The 19,372-nt window shown below is 44.2% G+C and overlaps 1 protein-coding gene and 1 long non-coding RNA gene across 18 annotated transcripts in view; one reads left to right on the top strand and one right to left on the bottom strand.

Annotated features, from left to right (window-relative positions):
• Positions 1–19,372, bottom strand: part of SAMD4A (sterile alpha motif domain containing 4A) — a 228,000-nt gene that overhangs the window by 104,013 nt on the left and 104,615 nt on the right. The window contains exon 2 of one of the 16 annotated variants that reach the window (XM_047431142.1): positions 7,246–7,368. The exons of the other annotated variants lie outside the window; for them this stretch is intronic. The gene's annotated coding sequence lies outside the window, so the exon portion shown is untranslated. The remainder of the gene's footprint in view (positions 1–7,245; positions 7,369–19,372) is intronic. 16 annotated transcript variants of the gene reach the window in all.
• Positions 1,393–5,609, top strand: SAMD4A-AS1 (SAMD4A antisense RNA 1). 2 transcript variants are annotated; one of them, NR_187162.1, is made up of 3 exons: positions 1,393–2,003; positions 3,428–3,566; positions 4,318–5,609. It is a non-coding gene; the product is annotated as an SAMD4A antisense RNA 1 (long non-coding RNA). The 2 variants fall into 2 exon arrangements; NR_187163.1 differs by having other exon boundaries at positions 4,302–5,609.

The following is a 19,372-nucleotide window of genomic DNA, read 5'->3' as shown; positions in this document are numbered from 1 at the left end:
CCCTAAGGCACTGGTTCACAAAGTATGGAGGAGGGGCATGCCTGGAAAATTGTTAGAAATACAACCTCTGGGCCGGGCGCGGTGGCTCATGCCTGTAATCCCAGCACTTTGGGAGGCTGAGGTGGGTGGATCACCTGTAGGTCAGGAGTTTGAGACCAGCCTGGCCAACGTGGTGAAATCCTGTCTCTACTAAAAATACAAAAATTAGCCAGGCATGGTGGCGGGCGCCTTTAATCCCAGCTACTCGGGAAGTTGAGGCAGAAGAATCGCTTGAACTCGGGAGAAGGAGTTTGCAGTGAGCCAAGATTGTGCCATTGGACTCTAACCTGGAAAACAGGAGCAAAACTCCGCCTCAAAAAAAAAAAAAAAAAGAATTACGACTTCTGGGACCCTCTCTATAGATCTACTGAATCAAAAACTGTGTTTAACCAGCCCCCTGATGATTTTGATCCAGGTTCACATTTGAGAACCCAAGAAAATCATGGCCTCCAATTGATAGCATTTGGAGGATCGAGTAAGGCTGATGTGAAACCAGGTGGGAACCATGATTTCTTACCAGGAGAAAGGCTAGGAGGAAGCAGTTGAAAGAGTGGCAAGGACCTATTTTTAGAGGAAGTTGTTGGATTTTTTTTTAAGTCAACAATAAATAAGCAAAATGTCATAATATTTCTAAGACAGGGCTGATCTCTCAAGTTTTCTATTCATAGCAACCTACCCAGTTAAAAGCAGCAATCGCTGCATCTAAGGATAGACAGGGAAGCCACGATTTGGCCCGTTTGGGTTTGAAGAGTGCCATAAGAATAAACAAAGTCTGGCCAAGCCTGTGCTGGCTCATGAATCAAACGAAGGTGAGAATTTCAGTTTTAAAGCATCTTTACCACAGGCTCACACCCTCACAAACCACCCCCACACAATCCCCAGTTATGTGCTGCTCCAAGGAGGAGAGTTGAGATGAGTCTGCAGAAGCCCAGAGAAGCCTGGGCGTGAGAGCCAGTACGTTACCTCTAAACGGTTGCTCCGGAGAACCGTTTGGTGAAGTTTGGTATCAACTCACTGGTCTGACGATGAACCCACAAGACATGCAGTAACAGGAGCAAAATTCTCTTGATTAGAGGACCATAATATTTTGCTGAGTTTAGGGGTGAGGGCACAGCTGCTGTCCAGGTTATACGGAGCTGAGCACATTACAGTTGAACCAGGTGTTAGGTGAAAAATTTGTGAGTTGATGGAATGATCACATAAGAGATTGCTCCATCTCCTCCCTCTCCACTTTGTCCTTCTCCTTTTCTTCCCTCCTCAGGTGTCCACTGGGCACAGCTCATCATTATTGAGTGTCTGGCTGGGTATTATGATGTCAGAGGCATCAGCCACAGAGGGTGATGCCTGAGAAGGGACAGCAGCCCAGCCCCATTCAGGGACACGTGGCCCTGATTTGAGCTCCTGTGACATCACGCTCCCTCCACTTATCTTACATGTCACATCTCAAACATTTAACATTTTACATCTCAAACATTTCTTGAGGCCCTTACCCTCCCATTCCCCCAAATCAATACGGCACTTAGGGGACACCAAGGCGCAGAGACACTTGCCCCAAATCATGCAGTAATGCCCTGGTGCCACCGTGAACAGTGCTGAAGCTTCCTGACCCCTTGTCCAGGGGACCTGGCTGCCTTTTATAGAAAGTTTCCACACACCTTCTATTCCTAACCTCGATCACAAGCATCGCCGGCCCAGATGCTCTGTGTCACCGGCTTAGTAACATACCCCATTTAGGAGCATGAGCACAACTTGTTTGCAGTGGGAATGAATTAACTGAATTCTAGATATTGTTTTTTGGCTGCCTTTTTTTGTTTGTTTTTATTTCAAACACAGCTAACTAATCAGGGCTGTGGACACCAAGAATGCCAACTTTGATTCTTCAAGGAAAATCAGCAGCTGACCACACACCACCCTTCCTGGTCCTCCCCGAGATGCCAAGAACATCCAAAGTCTGCAGTTTTGAGGTAAGAAGAAATACTTGGTTCATAACTGCCCATGGAGGGGCAGGATCCATCTTTTCTCTTTCTTATTTTGCAAGATGACATTAAGAGGAACAGTGCTGAGAAAATGGAAGATAATCTAAAAAACAAAGGTCATCACTTCTTTATATAATGTTAGAAGTTTTCTGTATGTCTTGACCTTGAGGTCTAAAATGGGTAGAGCCTTTGGAGGAGAAGAGATCAAGCCCCTTGGAGTCAGTCAGGGGAAGGGCAGATGTATAACCCCTATCACAGGGTCAGCTCCATGAATCACTGCACAGATCCCACTGCCAAAATCAAGCCCCGGAAAGCACAAAGATTGGAAGAACTGGCTTATTTATCAAACAACTGATGGGCCAGGGCAGGGAGCAACTCCCAGCCAATAAGGTGACTTGGTTTCTCAAAATGACATAAGTACATTTCAACTGTGTAGTAAATAAAACAAAATTTCATTATAAAAGGGCCCCAACTGTCCCCCATGTGATCTGCCTCTGCTGCCTCCTCATGTGACTGGCCTCCCAATTTAGCGCGTAACCAACTCCCAATGACCTGTAATAACACTATTCCCAAATTAGAGCTCTCAATTTGACTTGGCTTCGGTCCCTCCCTCAAAGCAAAATAAAGCATCCGTTTTCTTTTTTTCACATTCATAATACTCTCCTTTTGAGTTGCCAACTCAAACCCTGTTTCAGTCAGATTGAGCCCTTCCTCTATTTTTTTTTTTTCTGGTTAGCCAAAGAGCCCGATGGAAAAACACCAAGAGACAAAAACAAAAACAAAATCAGACAAAAATTCCAAGTAAGTGACATTCAGCTGGAAAAGCTATGATTCACATGCAAATAAAAATCTCCCTGAATTCACTGTTATATGACGCAAGCCCCTGGCTGCGACATAAAAAGGGCAGAATGAAATCACCCACAATTAAACTTGCTCTGGAATACTGGAATTCTCTGGCTAGGCCTTCCCGACTAATGATAAGAAAACCCCCAACTGTAGCAGAATGAAGCTAATTGTGTTGGGAGCCAGGGCATCCCCACCTCAGCTGATATTCACTCCTGAAACTTCCCAACCCAGCACTCCCCATCCTCACCCACTCCCTCACCCACATTCAGAATAACCTGCATGGAGACAGGGCTCAGGTCCTCTAAAGGCATCCCTTCTTTCTAGGCAGACATGAGGGATTTGTGCTGAGAAAGCTGGACTCACCACCCTATCCCCCAGGAAGCTAGAGTACAAGAAAGCTTTCGCTGGAGCTTAGAAAGATCTCCCTGAGACTACATAGGACCTTTGTATGAGCTTCACAGGAGCATCACTTTCTGTTGTCAAGTCCAGGCCAGAGATAGTTTAGCAAGTAACCTCTCCTGACTGGTAGATAATTTAACATCCCAATTCCCTCTTTTCTTCCTCAGGAAACTGAAGCTGATCTGACACCACTTCCTTTTTCTCCAGATGTTACCCTTCGGATGCATACCTCAATCTGCCTGAAAATCATGGAATTCTGGAGATGGAAGGGACCTCAGAGATTTTCTGGTTCTCTCTGTTCTGGTTGTAAGTGTTCTTACCACACACCACTCCCAACCATGGGGAGCCTTTCCACCACTGAAGAGAGCTGGGGTTACTAAAGCCACAATCAGCTTCTCTGCAACTTCTAACCATTTGGCTAAGATCAGTTTTTCTGAAACCACAAAGAAAAAAAATCTACGAACAAGTACTAGCGTACCAATGTTCACAGTAGCATTATTCACAAGTCATAAGGTGGAAGCAACCCAAATGTCCATCAACAGATGAATAGGTAAACAACATGCGGAATATACATCCAATGGAATCCTCTTCAGCCTCAACAAGGAAGGAAATTCCAGTGCATGCTATAACATAGATGGACCTCAAGGACACTGTGCTAAGTTAATTAAGCTAGACACAAAAGGACAAATGCTGTATGACTCCACTTGTATGAGGTCTCTTGAGTAGTCAGAAAGCAGAATGGTGGCTGCCAGGAGCTGGGGGGGGGGGCAGGAAGAATGGGGAGTTATTGTTTAATGGGAACAGAGTTTCTGTTTGGGATGATGATAAAGTTCTAGAAATTGATAGCTGTGATGGTCACACAACATTGTGAATATAATTAATGCCACAGGACTGTATATTTAAAAATGATTAAAATGGCAGATTTTATGTTATGATAAAAAAATACAAAAAGATAAATCTACTCTCCCTTCAGGGGAAGACAGCCATTCACCTAAATCTTTTTCAGGCTAACAGTCTCCAGTTTTTTCTAACAATCTTTAGGTGGTATGATTTCCAGGCCCCTGCAGCTTCCTGGCCACCCTCCTCTGGCTACACTTAATGCCTCTTTGAAAACCTGGTACCCAGAACTGAATGGTGGACTGCGCTCAGCTTCTCCTTCCAGGTCCCGCCCTGAGGCACCCGGCTTAACCCCCAAGTCAAACGCTGCACAGAGCAGGCCTGCTGCCTGCCCACTCTGGCTACCAGGCCAAAGGCCCAGGTCTGGAAGAATAAAAAGATGCCACCACCCTACTACCTTGCTGCTGCTCCATCCCCAGACAGCTGTGGGCAGCTGCAGCTGAGAAGTGAAACTAACAACAGCATCTGGGGGAGGGGGCGGCACCCAGCTGAGCCCTTTCCATAGGTTTCCCGTTTCTGGTTGGGGGGGGGGGCGGGGGTGTCTGGCCAATGGAAACAGGGCAGGCCCTCAGGGATGCCTCTTATCAGCAACCCACTGGAAGTCTGTAACCCCCTTCATGGTACGGTGTGCAGGGCAGGGATGGGAGGCACAGCTAGATGTGTGCAGCCCCAGCCTAAGCCAGGCCTGTTGGGCACCACAATGGGCTCACCCGCCTCGGTCCATCTGGAAAAGGTTTGAAAGCTTGAGGCAGGAAAGTTCCCTTTTGCATTTTAAAGTGTGTTGAAACTGAGTAGCCTGGGTGTTGGTCTCATTCCACAAGTGAGTAATCCATTTCCTGAAAGTAAGCTGCTCCCCCTTTGGAAGTGGCCCAGCGATTTGGGGGTGCTGTTAGAGGTGTCACTAACTCGGTAAATATTTATTGGCACAAGCAAGGAGCTTTTCTAGGAATATCAGTTAATTTGCTAAACTAATGGCTTTAAGGTAGCACCCTTGAAAAAAATTAATTCCTTTCTGATGGGTGAGCAATTTATGCCTGGGACAGGGCACCAGACAGGCAGTGTGTTTCACTTACTAGTTAGAATAACCACAAATAAATTAAAACCAGGCCTGACTTTAAAATCTCTACCTTCTTCCTTTTCTTGACTCCTGATTTTCTATTAATATCTGAGCCAGTAATGGATTGACTTTGGAAAACTCTTTTCTATGGCAATATTTTGCTGGGAGTTTGAAATGATGGGGTTTGAAAACTCCCTTTCCTGTGAGTCTTTTGGCTTCTGGGATCCCATACGGATGATCTCATATATCTACCCCTCACTAAGACTGTGCCCACCTGGATCTATCTGGAGACGTGCCTCCTGTTCTTCTGTGTAGAGCAATTTAGACTTTCATCACCTGGCTTGAAAAAGCCTTTTGCCTTGAAGAATAAAAACTTGGTTTCTTTATGGCTCAAATGATCACCTTAAAATCCTTTTAAAAAGACTCCTGTGCCACCTTCTCCTCCTCCTTCATGAGACAGGCGGTCCTCAGGAAGGAATCTACATTTTCTGATCCAAACTATGGAGACAGAGGAGTATACTCAGAGCTCTGCCAGGAAGGGGATGAGTTTGTGTGGTACAGGTTGTGATGCAGGAATACATCAAGCTCAGGAGTGATTCTCCATGAAGTATCGTGGATGGTTATAGATCTGATAGAAAAAAAGTCATTCTGGATTCCTGATCTCATGACCAGCATTTTTCCTCAATCTTTCTTGGAACTATCCCTTTTAGTCATGATCTTAGAAATCCTATGTGACTGCCTTGGGCTCCAGACATCACTGCCATCCACTTGGGTCTTCTGGGAGACTCTCACTAACCTGGCATGGTCCTGTGCCTCAGACTCTATCCTGCCTCACAAAGGCTCGCACCTGTATTTTCAGCCATCCCTATAAGGATCGTCCTGAGATCCAATGCCACTCCCTATTTCATCCCCTTCAGGGGTACCTGGAAAGGAGATGACTGAGAGATGGTGGCCCTCCTTTGGTATCTTGCAGACGTGTATATAATGGAGTCCAAGCCCATGAAGCCCAGAGTGTCAGTACACACTCTGTCCCTCAAGACCCAGGCAGGGTACCCTTGGGGCACTCAGCTTCCCAGGGAGGGCCCCCTCCAGCAGCACATGACGGAAGCACTGCACGGCAGCCAGCAATGGGAGAGGACAATATGCTGGCTGCAGGGAACACAGGGTTGGTTATTCAGGTACCAGCAATACCAAAACCCATGTTTATCCTTGTTCATTCATTTCCTTTCTTTCAGCAGGCCTATTACATACAGCATTGCATAAGTCACTGAATGTCTGAAAAACAGGGCTGGCCTATGTTGATAGTGTAGGAATTTGGCCTCTATTTCCTTTTACGCTTTAATTTGGTACATGTTCATCTTCCACTGCATTATCTTTTTACTGTTTTGAGGACACAGCCATAGTCAGAGTGCAGATCCAGAGCGAACACCTTGGAGACTTGATTATGTGCTCAGAAACTCCCCTCTTGAATACTTTTTGGAACAAGCTGAGGTATGCATAAGTAAATGCTTCAAATACAGTATGGACAAGGATTAGCAACCATTATTATCAACAGGGTTATCAGGAACTGGGAAATGTCAGATTCACAAAATGAGCCTTCAATGGGATGTGTGCAAAGAGGGGCACTGGTTGAGAGTTTGGGACCCAGATGGGGTGGTGTGTTTGTCACGTGGCTACCATTGGTACCAGTGTTCAACAGCCACAGGGAAACCTGCTTATTATTCTGTGGCTGCCTCCTACACAGGCATGGCTCAGGGAAGATAGAAAGGCCTCAGAGGAGTGAAAATGGAATCAAACAGAAGAGACAGGAGGCCGACATGGAACTGAGCAAGTTCTGGCTACTTCTGTTGCTTTTTGAGTCAGGGGAATGTGACGTATGGACTCTTCCCCTATAAACTCATACCTCAAGATTCTTCTGTGCACACAGCAGACTCCCCACAATCCCAAACATTAAAGGCCACAACCCCAAACATTGTGGGATAAGAACAGGGATCCGGAGATTCCTGAGTCACACACTAATGAAATACCTACCTCAGGCACATGTTCATAATATTCATCCTTAACACTCTGTAAGGCCAGTCCTAGACCCAGGTACTGCATGTTATGACAGCATAATTATTTTGTGGTCTGTCTTCAATGGCTCTGCATTTCCTCCTAAAGTGGGATATTGCGGCAGTCATAAATCTTTCCATCCTCCAGAGCAGTGGTCTGTCACAGCTTACTTAAACCGCTTATCTTTTGGGAGAGTTCCAATTCTTACTTTGTTTGAACTTAAGCCCTGCTAAACTCATCTCCCTGCATATTTTTCATTTGGGGCTCCATCAAAAAACTAATTAAAATAAAAAAGTTTTCTAAAAGGCAGGGCGTGGTGGCTCACACCTGTAATCCCAGTACTTTAGGAGGCCAAAGTGGGAGGATCACTTAAACCCAGGAGTTTGAGACCAGCCTGGGTAACATAGGGAGATACCATCTCTATAGAAGATTTTTAAAAATTAGCTGGGCATAGTAGTGCATGCCTGTAGTCCCAGTTACTCAGGAGGCCAAGGTGGTAGAATTGCTTGAGTCAGGGAGTTCAAGGCTGCTATGAGCCATGATCATGCCACTATACTCCAGCCTGGGTAACAGAGCGAGTCCGCATCTCCAAAAAGAAAAATAAATAAAGTAAAATAATCAGTGTCTCATGAGCATAATGATCAATACACACACACACAATCACATTTACCTATTTAATCTCTGCTTTCATGTCTGATTAGTATCTATCATCTGTGGAGTACTTTTTTCAAAAGTGGGCAAGATCTCTTTCTAAACATTATCACATCTCAAATGCAAGACAAGTGGGACTGTGGTGAGGAAACTGAGGCTCATCGTGGTGAAGTGACACACGGTTGGGGGGTTGGGGGGCTGGGGGGCTGGAGGGGGGGTCTTTCTGCAGCCTTACTCCTGGTTCCCAGCCCAACAGCTGGTCCCCCATCGGTTCACTGCTGAGGTTAAGCTGATGCTTGCTGGAAGAAAGGTCTGCACAGCGAAGCCTTACAGTTTCACTTACGTTCTTGGTTCTCTTACAAAGGAATCTAAACCTTGACGGACATTAGAAATTTAATAATAGTTTAAGAACAAATCCCAGCATGTCTCCAAAGCAATACAGAATCAAATTCTGAAAGCAAATAAGATCCTGCTTTATTCTTCTCTCTCTGGCTCCGCTGGCAGGGTGGGAGTGAATCGGGTGTGTCGAGTGAGGGGAGAAGAGACTCCAGAACATACCATTATGATTATCTAACAATAACAACACTCTTACTGGCAGTGTCCTCTGAAAAGATTAACATGAGGTTTCTTTTACTCTACATGGCAACAAGCTTCTGAAGAAAATACAGTAAAAATATAAACCGCTTAACTACCAGTGATGCTGGTTTCTTTAAGCTTTCTTAAAACCTTAACATTATAAACTGAGGAATGTGCTGAAATATGCTGGAAGTTTCTTGATCTTGTTTCAACTAATAGTCACTTTTCAATTTCTCAGAAAAGGATATTTAACAAATACGGCCAAACTTAAGTAACTTCAATTTCATTAATTTTCTCTTAAAACAAACCTATCAAAAAGTAATGACACAGGAAAAGAATAGCCCCAATACCCATATTGCAACCCTAAACATCATCTACTCACAGTCCAGAAACATACTCAATCTGTCTTTCAGTAACAGACCTGAAAATTACACCACATTGGTAAGAAGCAACTCCACTGCAGATGTGTTAAAAAATGAGTGGCAATTCAGGCCCAATTCACCATGGGTTGTTTTAATAATTTTTATTTTCTGAGCAGTGACTTTTTTCAAATAGAAAATCTGGCAATTGTATTAAAACCAATACTGTTAATTTTCACTTATATAGTTCTTAGTCTACAACTACATGAAGCCTAAGAAAAGATTTCTGTATAAAGAAAAATGTAGTGACCTCAGGCAAGCCTGTGAGATTTTTCCAACAGACACAACAAGGGAATAAATGGTGGGGGGAATTGGGCATGAGCCACCCATGATCTGAAGATAAGGGAGTGTGGCCCCGGTAGGACTGTGAGCACACATGCTCCATCTTTTCTTGATGCACACACCTGTCCACGATCATTTGGCTTCCAAATCCTCGAGGTCACTATCCCATCATGTCCTATCTTAGGCCCAGACAGAATCCTCTTGTCAAATCTTGAAGACTTTCAAACAGAAGTATTACTGTATACACATTCTGAAATGGATTTGATGAGCAGAGGGAAGAGTTACTGTGCAGAGACCAGGAATGCAAAAGGGGTCAGTTCAGAGTTGTCTCCCAATTGCAGACAGGACCTCAGGGACACAGCACTTGGTTCTAGCTCTGGGAATGTAATCTCTTGTGCCTCAGTTTCCTCCTATTAAAAATACACAAAATGGTCTTCCATCACCCGCCACTTCCAAAGGATGACATGGAAAACAATGGTTTGTGCATCTAAAGACTTAGTACTGGGATAATGATAGGCATTCACTTTGGATGCCCTCATTTAAAGACCTTCACTCCTATAAACTAAGGCCTCCACTTCCATGCAGGCCTCAGGGTAGCCATGGAAACTTGGTCTTTGCCTGGCATCCCGCATCATCTGGAAAGGGGAGAACATGCTTACACGTTCTTGGTTGCAGATTGGTATTTTTGGCATTTTTAGAAAAGACTAGACTGTTTTTCATATAATTCATTTCTCATAATATTAGCACTTGTGTTTTAAGAGCACATAGCAAGGAGCTATTGTTAGAGAAGCCAGGATCAGAATCAAGTGGCTAAGTGATAAGGGATACTGCTCATGCTCTTCTCTTGCTTCTAAATGTCTGCTTTCTAGCAGCTCCAGAATATTCCTGGTCCAATGCATTGTAGACACATTAGAATCACCCAAAACAACTTTAAATATTTGACCTCCTGCTATAATCTCCAAAAATGATAGAAAAAAACCCAGCTTATCTGCGAGTTTCCCCAAAGTCCTACTAGTCTGTCATAAACAAAATCCAAATCCGAGTCAATAAAACATAAGTGTTCAAACTGTCTGTCTTCCTTGTTTCCCCCACTTCTCCCTGCTATCTCTTGGCTATTTACTATTTTTAAACCTTACATAGCACAGAGAAAGAGGAATGGCATTTGAATGAAGTTTGGAGACAAGATCGAGTCCACAAGAAGGTAGCATAAAAGGCTGGGATTATGCAGGGTTTCAATTATCCATGCTTTCCCTAAAGATCAGGCCGGGCGCGGTGGCTCACGCCTGTAATCCCAGCACTTTGGGAGGCCGAGGCGGGCGGATCACGAGGTCAGGAGATCGAGACCATCCTGGCTAACACGGTGAAACCCCGTCTCTACTAAAAATGCAAAAAATTAGCCGGAAGCGATGGCGGGCGCCTGTAGTCCCAGCTACTCAGGAGGCTGAGGCAGGAGAATGGCGTGAACCCGGGAGGCGGAGCTTGCAGTGAGCCGTGATCGCGCCGCTGCACTCCGGCCTGGGCGAAAGAGCGAGACTCCGTCTCAAAAAAAAAAAAAAAAGATCATATATTCCATACCCCTCCCCACCTGACCTACACACACACACACACACACACACACACACACACACACACACACACACACACACACACACACACACACACACACACACACACAAATGGTGACTGCCCAAAATACGACACATTGGTATTAGAGAAAACAGCAGAATTAGGAAGGTCACTTTTAAATTCTCCTCCCTTCTCCCCTGAGGCAGGTCATAAAACCTTCATTCTAGAGGTACCCTCCCTGTACCTGGAGGAAAGGAACATCCTTATTTTTAACGACACAGAGATGCCAAGAAGAATCTGAACAAACAGGCCTTGCTAAACTCCCTTAAGTTTATTACCATTAGATCACATCCTTTTGTCCCCCAATCATACTTCTGCACAACTGTGCATTCTTTATCAAACCTAAGCATAAAATATGCAGATTTCTCTGTTTCTTTGGGTCTTCTTTTCTGAAGCCTCCCATGTCATGCAAAACTTATATTTGAATTAATTTGTATGCTTTTCTCTTGTTAAAATCTGTCTTTTGTTGTAGGAGCCTCAGCCACGAACCTAGTGTTGGGAAAGAAAGATATTTCTTTTCCTTTACGATTGATAGACAGACAGACAGAATGAATGAATGCAAATTGCTGAAGAACATTAGAAGCTATTTAGAAAGGATTCAGATACTAGTGTAAACCCCAAAAGACTAATTCAATAGAAAAAAATGCCCTTTTAACCAAACAATTCCAACATAGGAGAGAATGTTCCTCTTTCTTCAAAGCCAAATATTTTACTATGTTTTATAAGACTAATTAAAACAATATTGTGGTATTCGAGAATGTGTGGGTTATGGAGAGGAACAATCTGCCCCACAAAAATCTTCATTTCATCAAGCAAACACCACATCTATGGTGAGAGTTATGCAGGATCCTCGGAGACTTTTGCTTTGTTTCATTAACATTCACATATCCACTTGGTAAGAACCGTAGCTTGGAACTACGATTTCCATTACAAAGCCTCTGAAATGCCAGGAATGAGTCATGGCATTGTGCAGCCTGGGCAGTGCACTGATTTTCTCCATTAACCAGGCGTACATTCTGACAACTTCCAGGAGAAAGCTGAATGAGTCAGTTTCAGGAATAAACCACATTAGAATACTATGTGCGTGGAGGAGTTAGGGTAATAGGGATTGGTTTTTGCTGCTGTTTTGTTCTTTTAAAACAGAAATATTCATAAAATTCATTTCTCTGAAGATAGCAAAATAACATAGATCCACCCAATTATAAGGATTCTAACACCATGACCAATTTGGTTGCCCAAACATTACAAAGTGTAGTAAAACTGCTAGGATCAAAAATAGCTTTTCAAGGACAGTCCCACAGCCCCCTTAACACAGAGAACACTACCTCTGAACCACTTCCAAACACCTTCTCCTTTCCTGATTTTCTTCTTTGGGTGTCTTACACCACCTGACTTTCACAGAGAAATGGGAAGTCAGGAGATAACAAGTTAGATAACTAAACGACGGAAACACATGGCCAGAATTCAGGCAGAGCATGTGCCGTGTTTCAGCAGGAACAACAAACCTGACTATAAAAATGGATCTCTGGCTTCAGTGGGAAGCAAAATGCATAATGCAAGGCTCTAGACTGCGAGGATCTCTTCTGCATCCTGTCATGTTCCCTGCTGCCATTTCGGTTTTGGAAATTGGAGTCCAAATCTCTTTAACCCTACACGTTCTTGAGAATTGCTTACTGTGTTTATGAGATGAAGGCCTAAAGCATTGTCATCCTGGACCACCTACTAAATAAAGAAATCAGCAATATTAGAAGGCTAGCAATTTCCTGGCAAGGTGGAAATATACTGAAAGAACTAAAAGCAGAATAGGCACAGTGGTTCACGCCTGTAATCCCAGCACTCTGGGAGGCTGAGGCGGGTGGAACACCTGAGGTCAGGAGTTTGAGACCAGCCTTGCCAACATGGTGAAACCCTGTCTTTACTAGAAATAAAAAAAAAAAAATTAGCTGGGTGTGGTGGCTCGTGCCTGTAGCCCCAGCTACTCAGGAGACTGAGGCAGGAGAATCGCTTGAACTTGGGAGGCGGAGGTTACAGTGAGCCAAGCAAGATTGTGCCACTGCACTCCAGCCTGGGTGATAGAGCAAGACTCTGTCTCAAAGAAAAGAAAAGAAAAAAGAAAAGAAAGGAAAGTACTAAAAGCATAAAATGGTTAACATCTTTTTAGAACTTCTGATCTTGTTTGAAACCAATACCATAGGATGATTTGAAAACTGAGTACAACCATGAAAAATGGAGATATCTGAATACGCCAAAGGCACTTTTAATACCAAAATGAGAGGTGAAGTAGTTAGGGTGACTGTCAGGAGCCAGTACATCTCAGATCGAACATGGAGCTGCTGTGGTATTCAGGGGCTCCTTTGTACAGGATCATACTCAGTTGTTCTCCATCTTTCTTAGTATTGAGTCGCGGCCTTGCTTTTTCTTTTTTTGGATTTGGCCTCTAATGTTTAGGCACGAGTCAGCACACACAGATGAATAGATTAACTGAGCTAATTTAAGGGAGCCCTCCCGTGGAAGGATTCTTTTTTAGCCTTCTATATTTAGGCTAAGGTTTGTGCCTGTGCAAGACACTGACTGAAGAACTGAGTTTTCCAAACCTCACGAGCAAGGACTCTCTACCGTGAGATCTTCCTAACAAACCTCTCACTTGTTCATGGGAGCTCTGATGTCCCCATAACCACAGAGTATTAAAACAGGCCAATTATGGCAAGCTCATTTGTACTGCAGGGTGACTCTCGCCTCACTTTCAAAAATGTGGTGAGCACATACTGTGTTGGTATTCAGGCTAGTGAATATCCCTATCTGGTGAAACTCGATAAAACTTAATTTGATATGACAACTCTATTGAATTCTACCAGAAGCAATCACTTCAATTAAATCACACAGTTCCTAAATCTCACATTTAGTAACAAAGTAAAGACTTTGAAGCTCTCCCCTGCTGCAACATTGTTTCTCATGTCCTTACACTATTGCTTAGTCAGACCTAAAGCATAGCTAAGGAATAAGTTTAAAGTTTGACTCTCAAGCAAAAATTTCAAAGGTTCTGTGACTTGTTGGTCATAAAATAAGCTGCTCTCCATGGTAGGGGATTCTCTGCCTTTTTTTTTTTTTTTTTTTTGGAGACGGAGTTTCACTCTTGTTGCCCAGGCTAGAGTGCAATGGCACAATCTCGGCTCACTGCAACCTCCACCTCCTAGGTTCAAGTGATTCTCCTGCCTCAGCCTCCTGAGTAACTGGGATTACAGGCGCCCGCCACCACGCCCGGCTAATTTTTATATTTTTAGTAGAGACGGGGTTTCACCAGGTTGGCCAAGCTGGTCTCGAACTCCTGACCTCAGGTGATCCACCCGCCTCAGCCTCCCAAAGTGCTTGGATTACAGGCGCGAGCCACCATGCCTGGCCTTCTGCTTTCTTTTAAAATCTCTCCCTACTGAGCCAACCACAGTGGCTCACACCTGTAATCCCAGCACTTTGGAAGACTGAGGTGGGACGATCGTTTGAACCTGGGAGCTCGAGAGCAGCCTGGGCAACACAGTGAGACCTCATCTCTACAAAAAATAAATTTCAAAATTCGCTGGGCATCATGGCACGGGCCTAATATTCCCAGTACTCAAGAGGCTGAGGTGGGAGGATCACTTGATTTCCAGGAGGTTGAGGCTGCTGTGAGCCGTGATCATGCCACTGCACTACAGCCTGGGTGACAGAGTGAGACCCTGTCTCAAAAATAAAATAAAATCTTTCCCTAGCCCACTTATTTGAGTATCATTTAGGGCATAGGTAATGCTAAGGGATCTACCACATTGTCACAATGATAAGAATGTCAATAGATTCTCTTCTCATGTCTTTGACATTTAAAGACATCTGTAGAAAGGTAGACACCATCTGTGTCCTCCTGCTGGCAGAGACTAAACGCCTGCATGGTAGAAACCACACCAGTAGAAACCACACCAGTATCTACACCAGTATCTACACCAGTTTCTACACCAGTAGAAACCACACCAGTACCTGACCAGTGTCAGAAGGGCCTTTAGAGAACAGAATCAATTATCCATTGCCTTCTCTTTTGTTTCACAAATTCTTGGGCATGCCGAAGAGGTCAAGTTTTGAACAAGCTGCTTTTACAGTCTTACTTTTTTAGAGAACCTCATGCAAAAAATTTAAAAGCAAAAAGCAACTTAAAGGAGCAGCAAAACTCCTGCCCTTCCCTCCCTAAAAATGGAATAAACTTACTTGGCAGTATCTCTGCTGCCACTGAATATATTTACTGCTTAAATGAGACAAACCTCTTGCCAGGCTTCTTGCCGACTCTGCAGGGACCTAGGCCTCCTTTGCATAAACACTTCTTTCCAGAGAAAAGAATGAGAATGCCACACTTTAATATTTTGGCATTCCTTGTTGGATTCAAGTGGAATGCTAAAATGGATTTAGGTCCCAGAGGAGAGAAGTGAATGAATTTTCATCACTCCCCCGACTTAATTCTATGTGCCCTAAGCGTGGCGTCTGATGACTCAGAGTAGGTTCCATGCTCAGATAGAGGCATCAAACGCTTCAGAAAGTAGGGAAGAGTGGCCTCCAGAGTTCAGCTCTCAAAAATAAACCAATCCAGATCCATGAGCTGAGGTCTGAAGTTTAAGAGCGATAGCCATTACTATTTACACAGACAGAAGACCGAAATTTGATCTCCCTTCAGCTCAGTCAATAAGATGACCGGAAGAAGTGCTAGGCTCTCTCTTCTTAGACTCAGCTGCCTAAGGCCCTGTAGATGGCCTGCTGGGGCTGGGCTGCTGCTCCCTCCTAAGGGCTGCAGAGCCCTCCCACCCCTGCCCACAGGACCCAGGGCTTCGGTAGACAGCTTTGTCCCAGTGATGCCTGGGCATCCCGAAAGCAGGTGAGAATTCAGTGGACTTCCAGAGTGTTCCTTCTAAGCAGCTGAGAGGTTAAATGAAACCAGTCCAAATTTCCAGTGCTAAAAGCAGCAGGCAGCCCGCTATGCTGACGCTGCCGTCACAAAACCCATGGTTGAGTACAAGGTAGCCATTATTTATTCATGATCCTGAGAATGTTTTTATTGCCTGTATTGTTTTCTAACTTTGGAAGCACCAAATAAGGATGACTTTTGGTGCAAGGTAGGAGCCAGGACTATTTATATGATCTCATTCTTTCTTACATAATATATTAAACAGGCCCTTTAGGCCTGAGCGTGAAAGAGCCAAATTCTAGCTCTGGACAAACATGTGCTGCTCCCATTGAAATTGGGGTGACTTGGCTGTCAGACAGCTGTGGGGCAAACTTTACTCTTCAGCAAGGATATGATGGATAAAGAATAGTTTCCAAGCATGGATTATAGTGCTCTGGAAAAGAGCCACTGGAGGAATATGAAAGTAAATTCCTTTAAAGCCCAAATCAGCAAATACTTCCCATCATTTACAAATATGCTTGTCTACCTTCCAAGCCTGCAAGGTAACCTTCGAGAAAGGGTCCCAGGTACCTCTCTGGAGATCATTCAAGATCTCTTCCGGTGAGTCTCTAATGCCGGCAAAATGTATCTTGGGCCAGAAAATCACTCTCCTAACTGTTAACACGGTGATATTTCACTCTTAGTCACTTCGTGGGAAGATGCATAGCTGGTTTCAGAGCAACAAATTACTTTACAGTTGCACTTCATCATTTCATTGTTCCCATGTTACAGACAGACATTTTATGGTAATTGATCTTGATTTAGTACATACATAGACTTATTTACATGCTACCTTGTACCAAAAAGAATTTTAAATGACTTACATGTGGTCTTAGAAATTGCCCTACATCCTTATAACCCTTAAAAAATAATACTATTCTTGTCTAATAAGTTAGATTTAAAAAAAATTCATGATAACCTTTATGCAGCTAAAGTTAAAAGCAGATCAAACCTAGTGTTCAAATCCTCCAATTTTTAATTTGGAAAACAAATCCCAGGATGACAGGGCACCCTCTCAGGGGCCCTGTGAACCTTAGTCAGCCTTTTCTGAAGTCTTACGGAATTCCAGCTATAGATAGGTAGAAGAGGAGGCAGAGAGTGACAGATTCCACATCATGACAAAGTGAGACGTCTGCAGATGACTGAAAATAGTCTCCCACGGTTGGTTTTAATCTTCCCACCTTCCCTCCACCCTCGTACACCCTTCTGCGCTTAGGAAGAGTAAAGATGACTGCATTTAAGTGGCTGACAGGCATCCCAAGGCTCGAAAAAATTTAAAAGAGGGAAAAAAACACAAAAAAAACAGCTGGATGTGGTGGCATATGCCCGTACTCCCAGCTACTCCAAAAGCTGAAGTGGGAGAATCGCTTGAACCCAGGGGTTCCAGTCCAGCCTGGGCAACAAGGCAAGACCCCATCTCAAAAAAAAATAAATTTAAATTAAAAACAAAAACAAATTCCAAAGCAGAATGGCTGACTATACCCTGAAGAAAAAAAAAAAAAAAAAAACACTATAAACAGAAAAGGAAGCAGTAGATGGGGGTAATGGTGTGACATTTTCCTTCTCCCCATCTCCCAATCTCCCCCTAACACTACTCTCCATTCCTGCCCCCACCCCAATGCCTCTGCAGCACCACCCCTTCTCTTGCCCCAAAGTTCAGCTTCCTGCTAGGGCCCTGTCGCACCTCTTCCCTGAGGTGTCAATTCAGGCCTATGCGTTGAGCCCTGATAATCCAAGCTTTGATTTCATGCCTGCTGGCAGCTGGTTCATTGCCACATTCACTGGCACTGAGATGTAGAAACCTACTCTGAGACAGGTTCAGATTCAGGCTTCACACACACCCACTACAGAATTCTGGAAGACTGAGTTCGTTCCACGTGTTCAGTAAAGTCCAAGATTCTAGGCCTGACACTTGTCCCAAGCTGCCCTCTGCACCTCTCACCTTCTCTAACCCTGTGCCTCACTCAGCCCAGCCTCTGCCTTGGCTGTGCTTCCTCCTGGACAAACACTGCCCACCTCTCCTTGAAGGCCAAATCTATACCTGTCCTTTGACAAACTCATTTAACAATCACTCCCATTGCACTCACTAGGTGCTGTTCTAAGCACTTTCCATATCTCACTTAATCCTTACAACACCCCTAGGTACTATTATTATCCAGATTTCAAAGATGAGGAAGCAGAAGCATGGAGATGGGACCTAGCTTGCACAAGAAGCCACAACAAATAAGTAGTAAAGCCAAGGTTCAAACCCCAGAATCTGTGTCCCTAACAGTGATGCTGCTGGGCTGGGCTGCCTCTTCCATAAAACTCCCATGTCCCAACTCCAGCTAAAATTACTTTTTCCTTCCAAGTTCCAGAGCCCTTCAGTGATCTTTCTCTTACGATCTAACCATTTTCTGCCTCACTTTCGCCACACTTATCTTTCATTTTTCATCTTTCCTGGCAGATGGTAAGCTTCTTGAAGACAGAATCCATGTCTGATTCAACTTGGGTCCCCTCAGCCACGCCTGAGCTCTGCACATCCTCGGTGGGTGCCTGTCAATATTTATCGGTGGAAGGAGGGGAAAAAGAATTCACTCAGCTAAGGGATCTCCTGCTGGAATGAGGAACACTTCCTTCTTTGTGTTCATCTCTATGTGGCTGCAATGTTTATATTTACTTTTGTTGTTTTAGGAGCAATTTTAGCTGCTATTGGTAAGGAATGCAGGTAGTCTTGAAGGTCAAAGCTATGTCTTATGAGCATGGGAGGCAACAGCAGTTAAGTTCTCCTCTGTTCCCTCCACATACAAGAGCTACTTGTAGAGGTGGTAACAATGATATGAAGACAACAATTGCAGCAATAACAACAGCTACCATCAATCACATACCACGTGCTAGGCACTTTATATCCTATATTTGTAATTCTTTCAATAAGCCTACAAGCCAGGCTTTATTATCCTTATTTTACAGATGGGAATTGTGATTCAGAAAAGTTAAGTCATTTGGCCGAGGTCAAAAGCTGGTAAAACATAATGCTGAGGCTTGAACCCAGTTCTGCCTCCCCCAGGCTTCGTCTGGCTCCGTCCTCTACACAGCAATGCCTTTCTTAGCCCTGAAGGAGCTTCGCTTTCTGTAAGAGTTAAGAAAGGCAAGTCACCTGGGCCCATTCATTCTTGGCTTCCTGGATTTCGTGGTTTTGGTCTTTTATGTGAAAAGCTACCCTTACACATGCACATTTCTTCCAAGAAACCAGATGAACGGTAACCTACTTTCACAAAGCTCAGAGAGTCCTTAATGCCTAGGAACAGACTGGACGGCGATCACAAAAATGTACTAAGAGATTTACAAGAGGGTGGTGCAGATGGGGGCGGGGAATGAGGGATGGGGCCAGACAGACTTGCTTGGGGTCAGACAGGCAGAGCGAGAACTAAATGTTCTGTTCGGAAGAAAGGATACATCACTCTTCATTAATCTATAAAGTTGTCTTAGTTGGGCCACAACAAACACTCAGTGCGTTCACAACGTGGCCACAAAAACATTTCACTGGTCTGGGTGTGAACGTTTTTTCTTTACACAGGAAAAGCAGTGCTTTTCACCCCAGGGGGCTGGGGGGGCAGAA

Source organism: Homo sapiens, chromosome 14 (assembly GCF_000001405.40).
Source record: "Homo sapiens chromosome 14, GRCh38.p14 Primary Assembly".
Lineage (NCBI taxonomy): Eukaryota > Metazoa > Chordata > Mammalia > Primates > Hominidae > Homo > Homo sapiens.
Note: the sequence above shows the minus strand (reverse complement) of the source record. Positions and strands in the feature narration are given on the sequence as shown.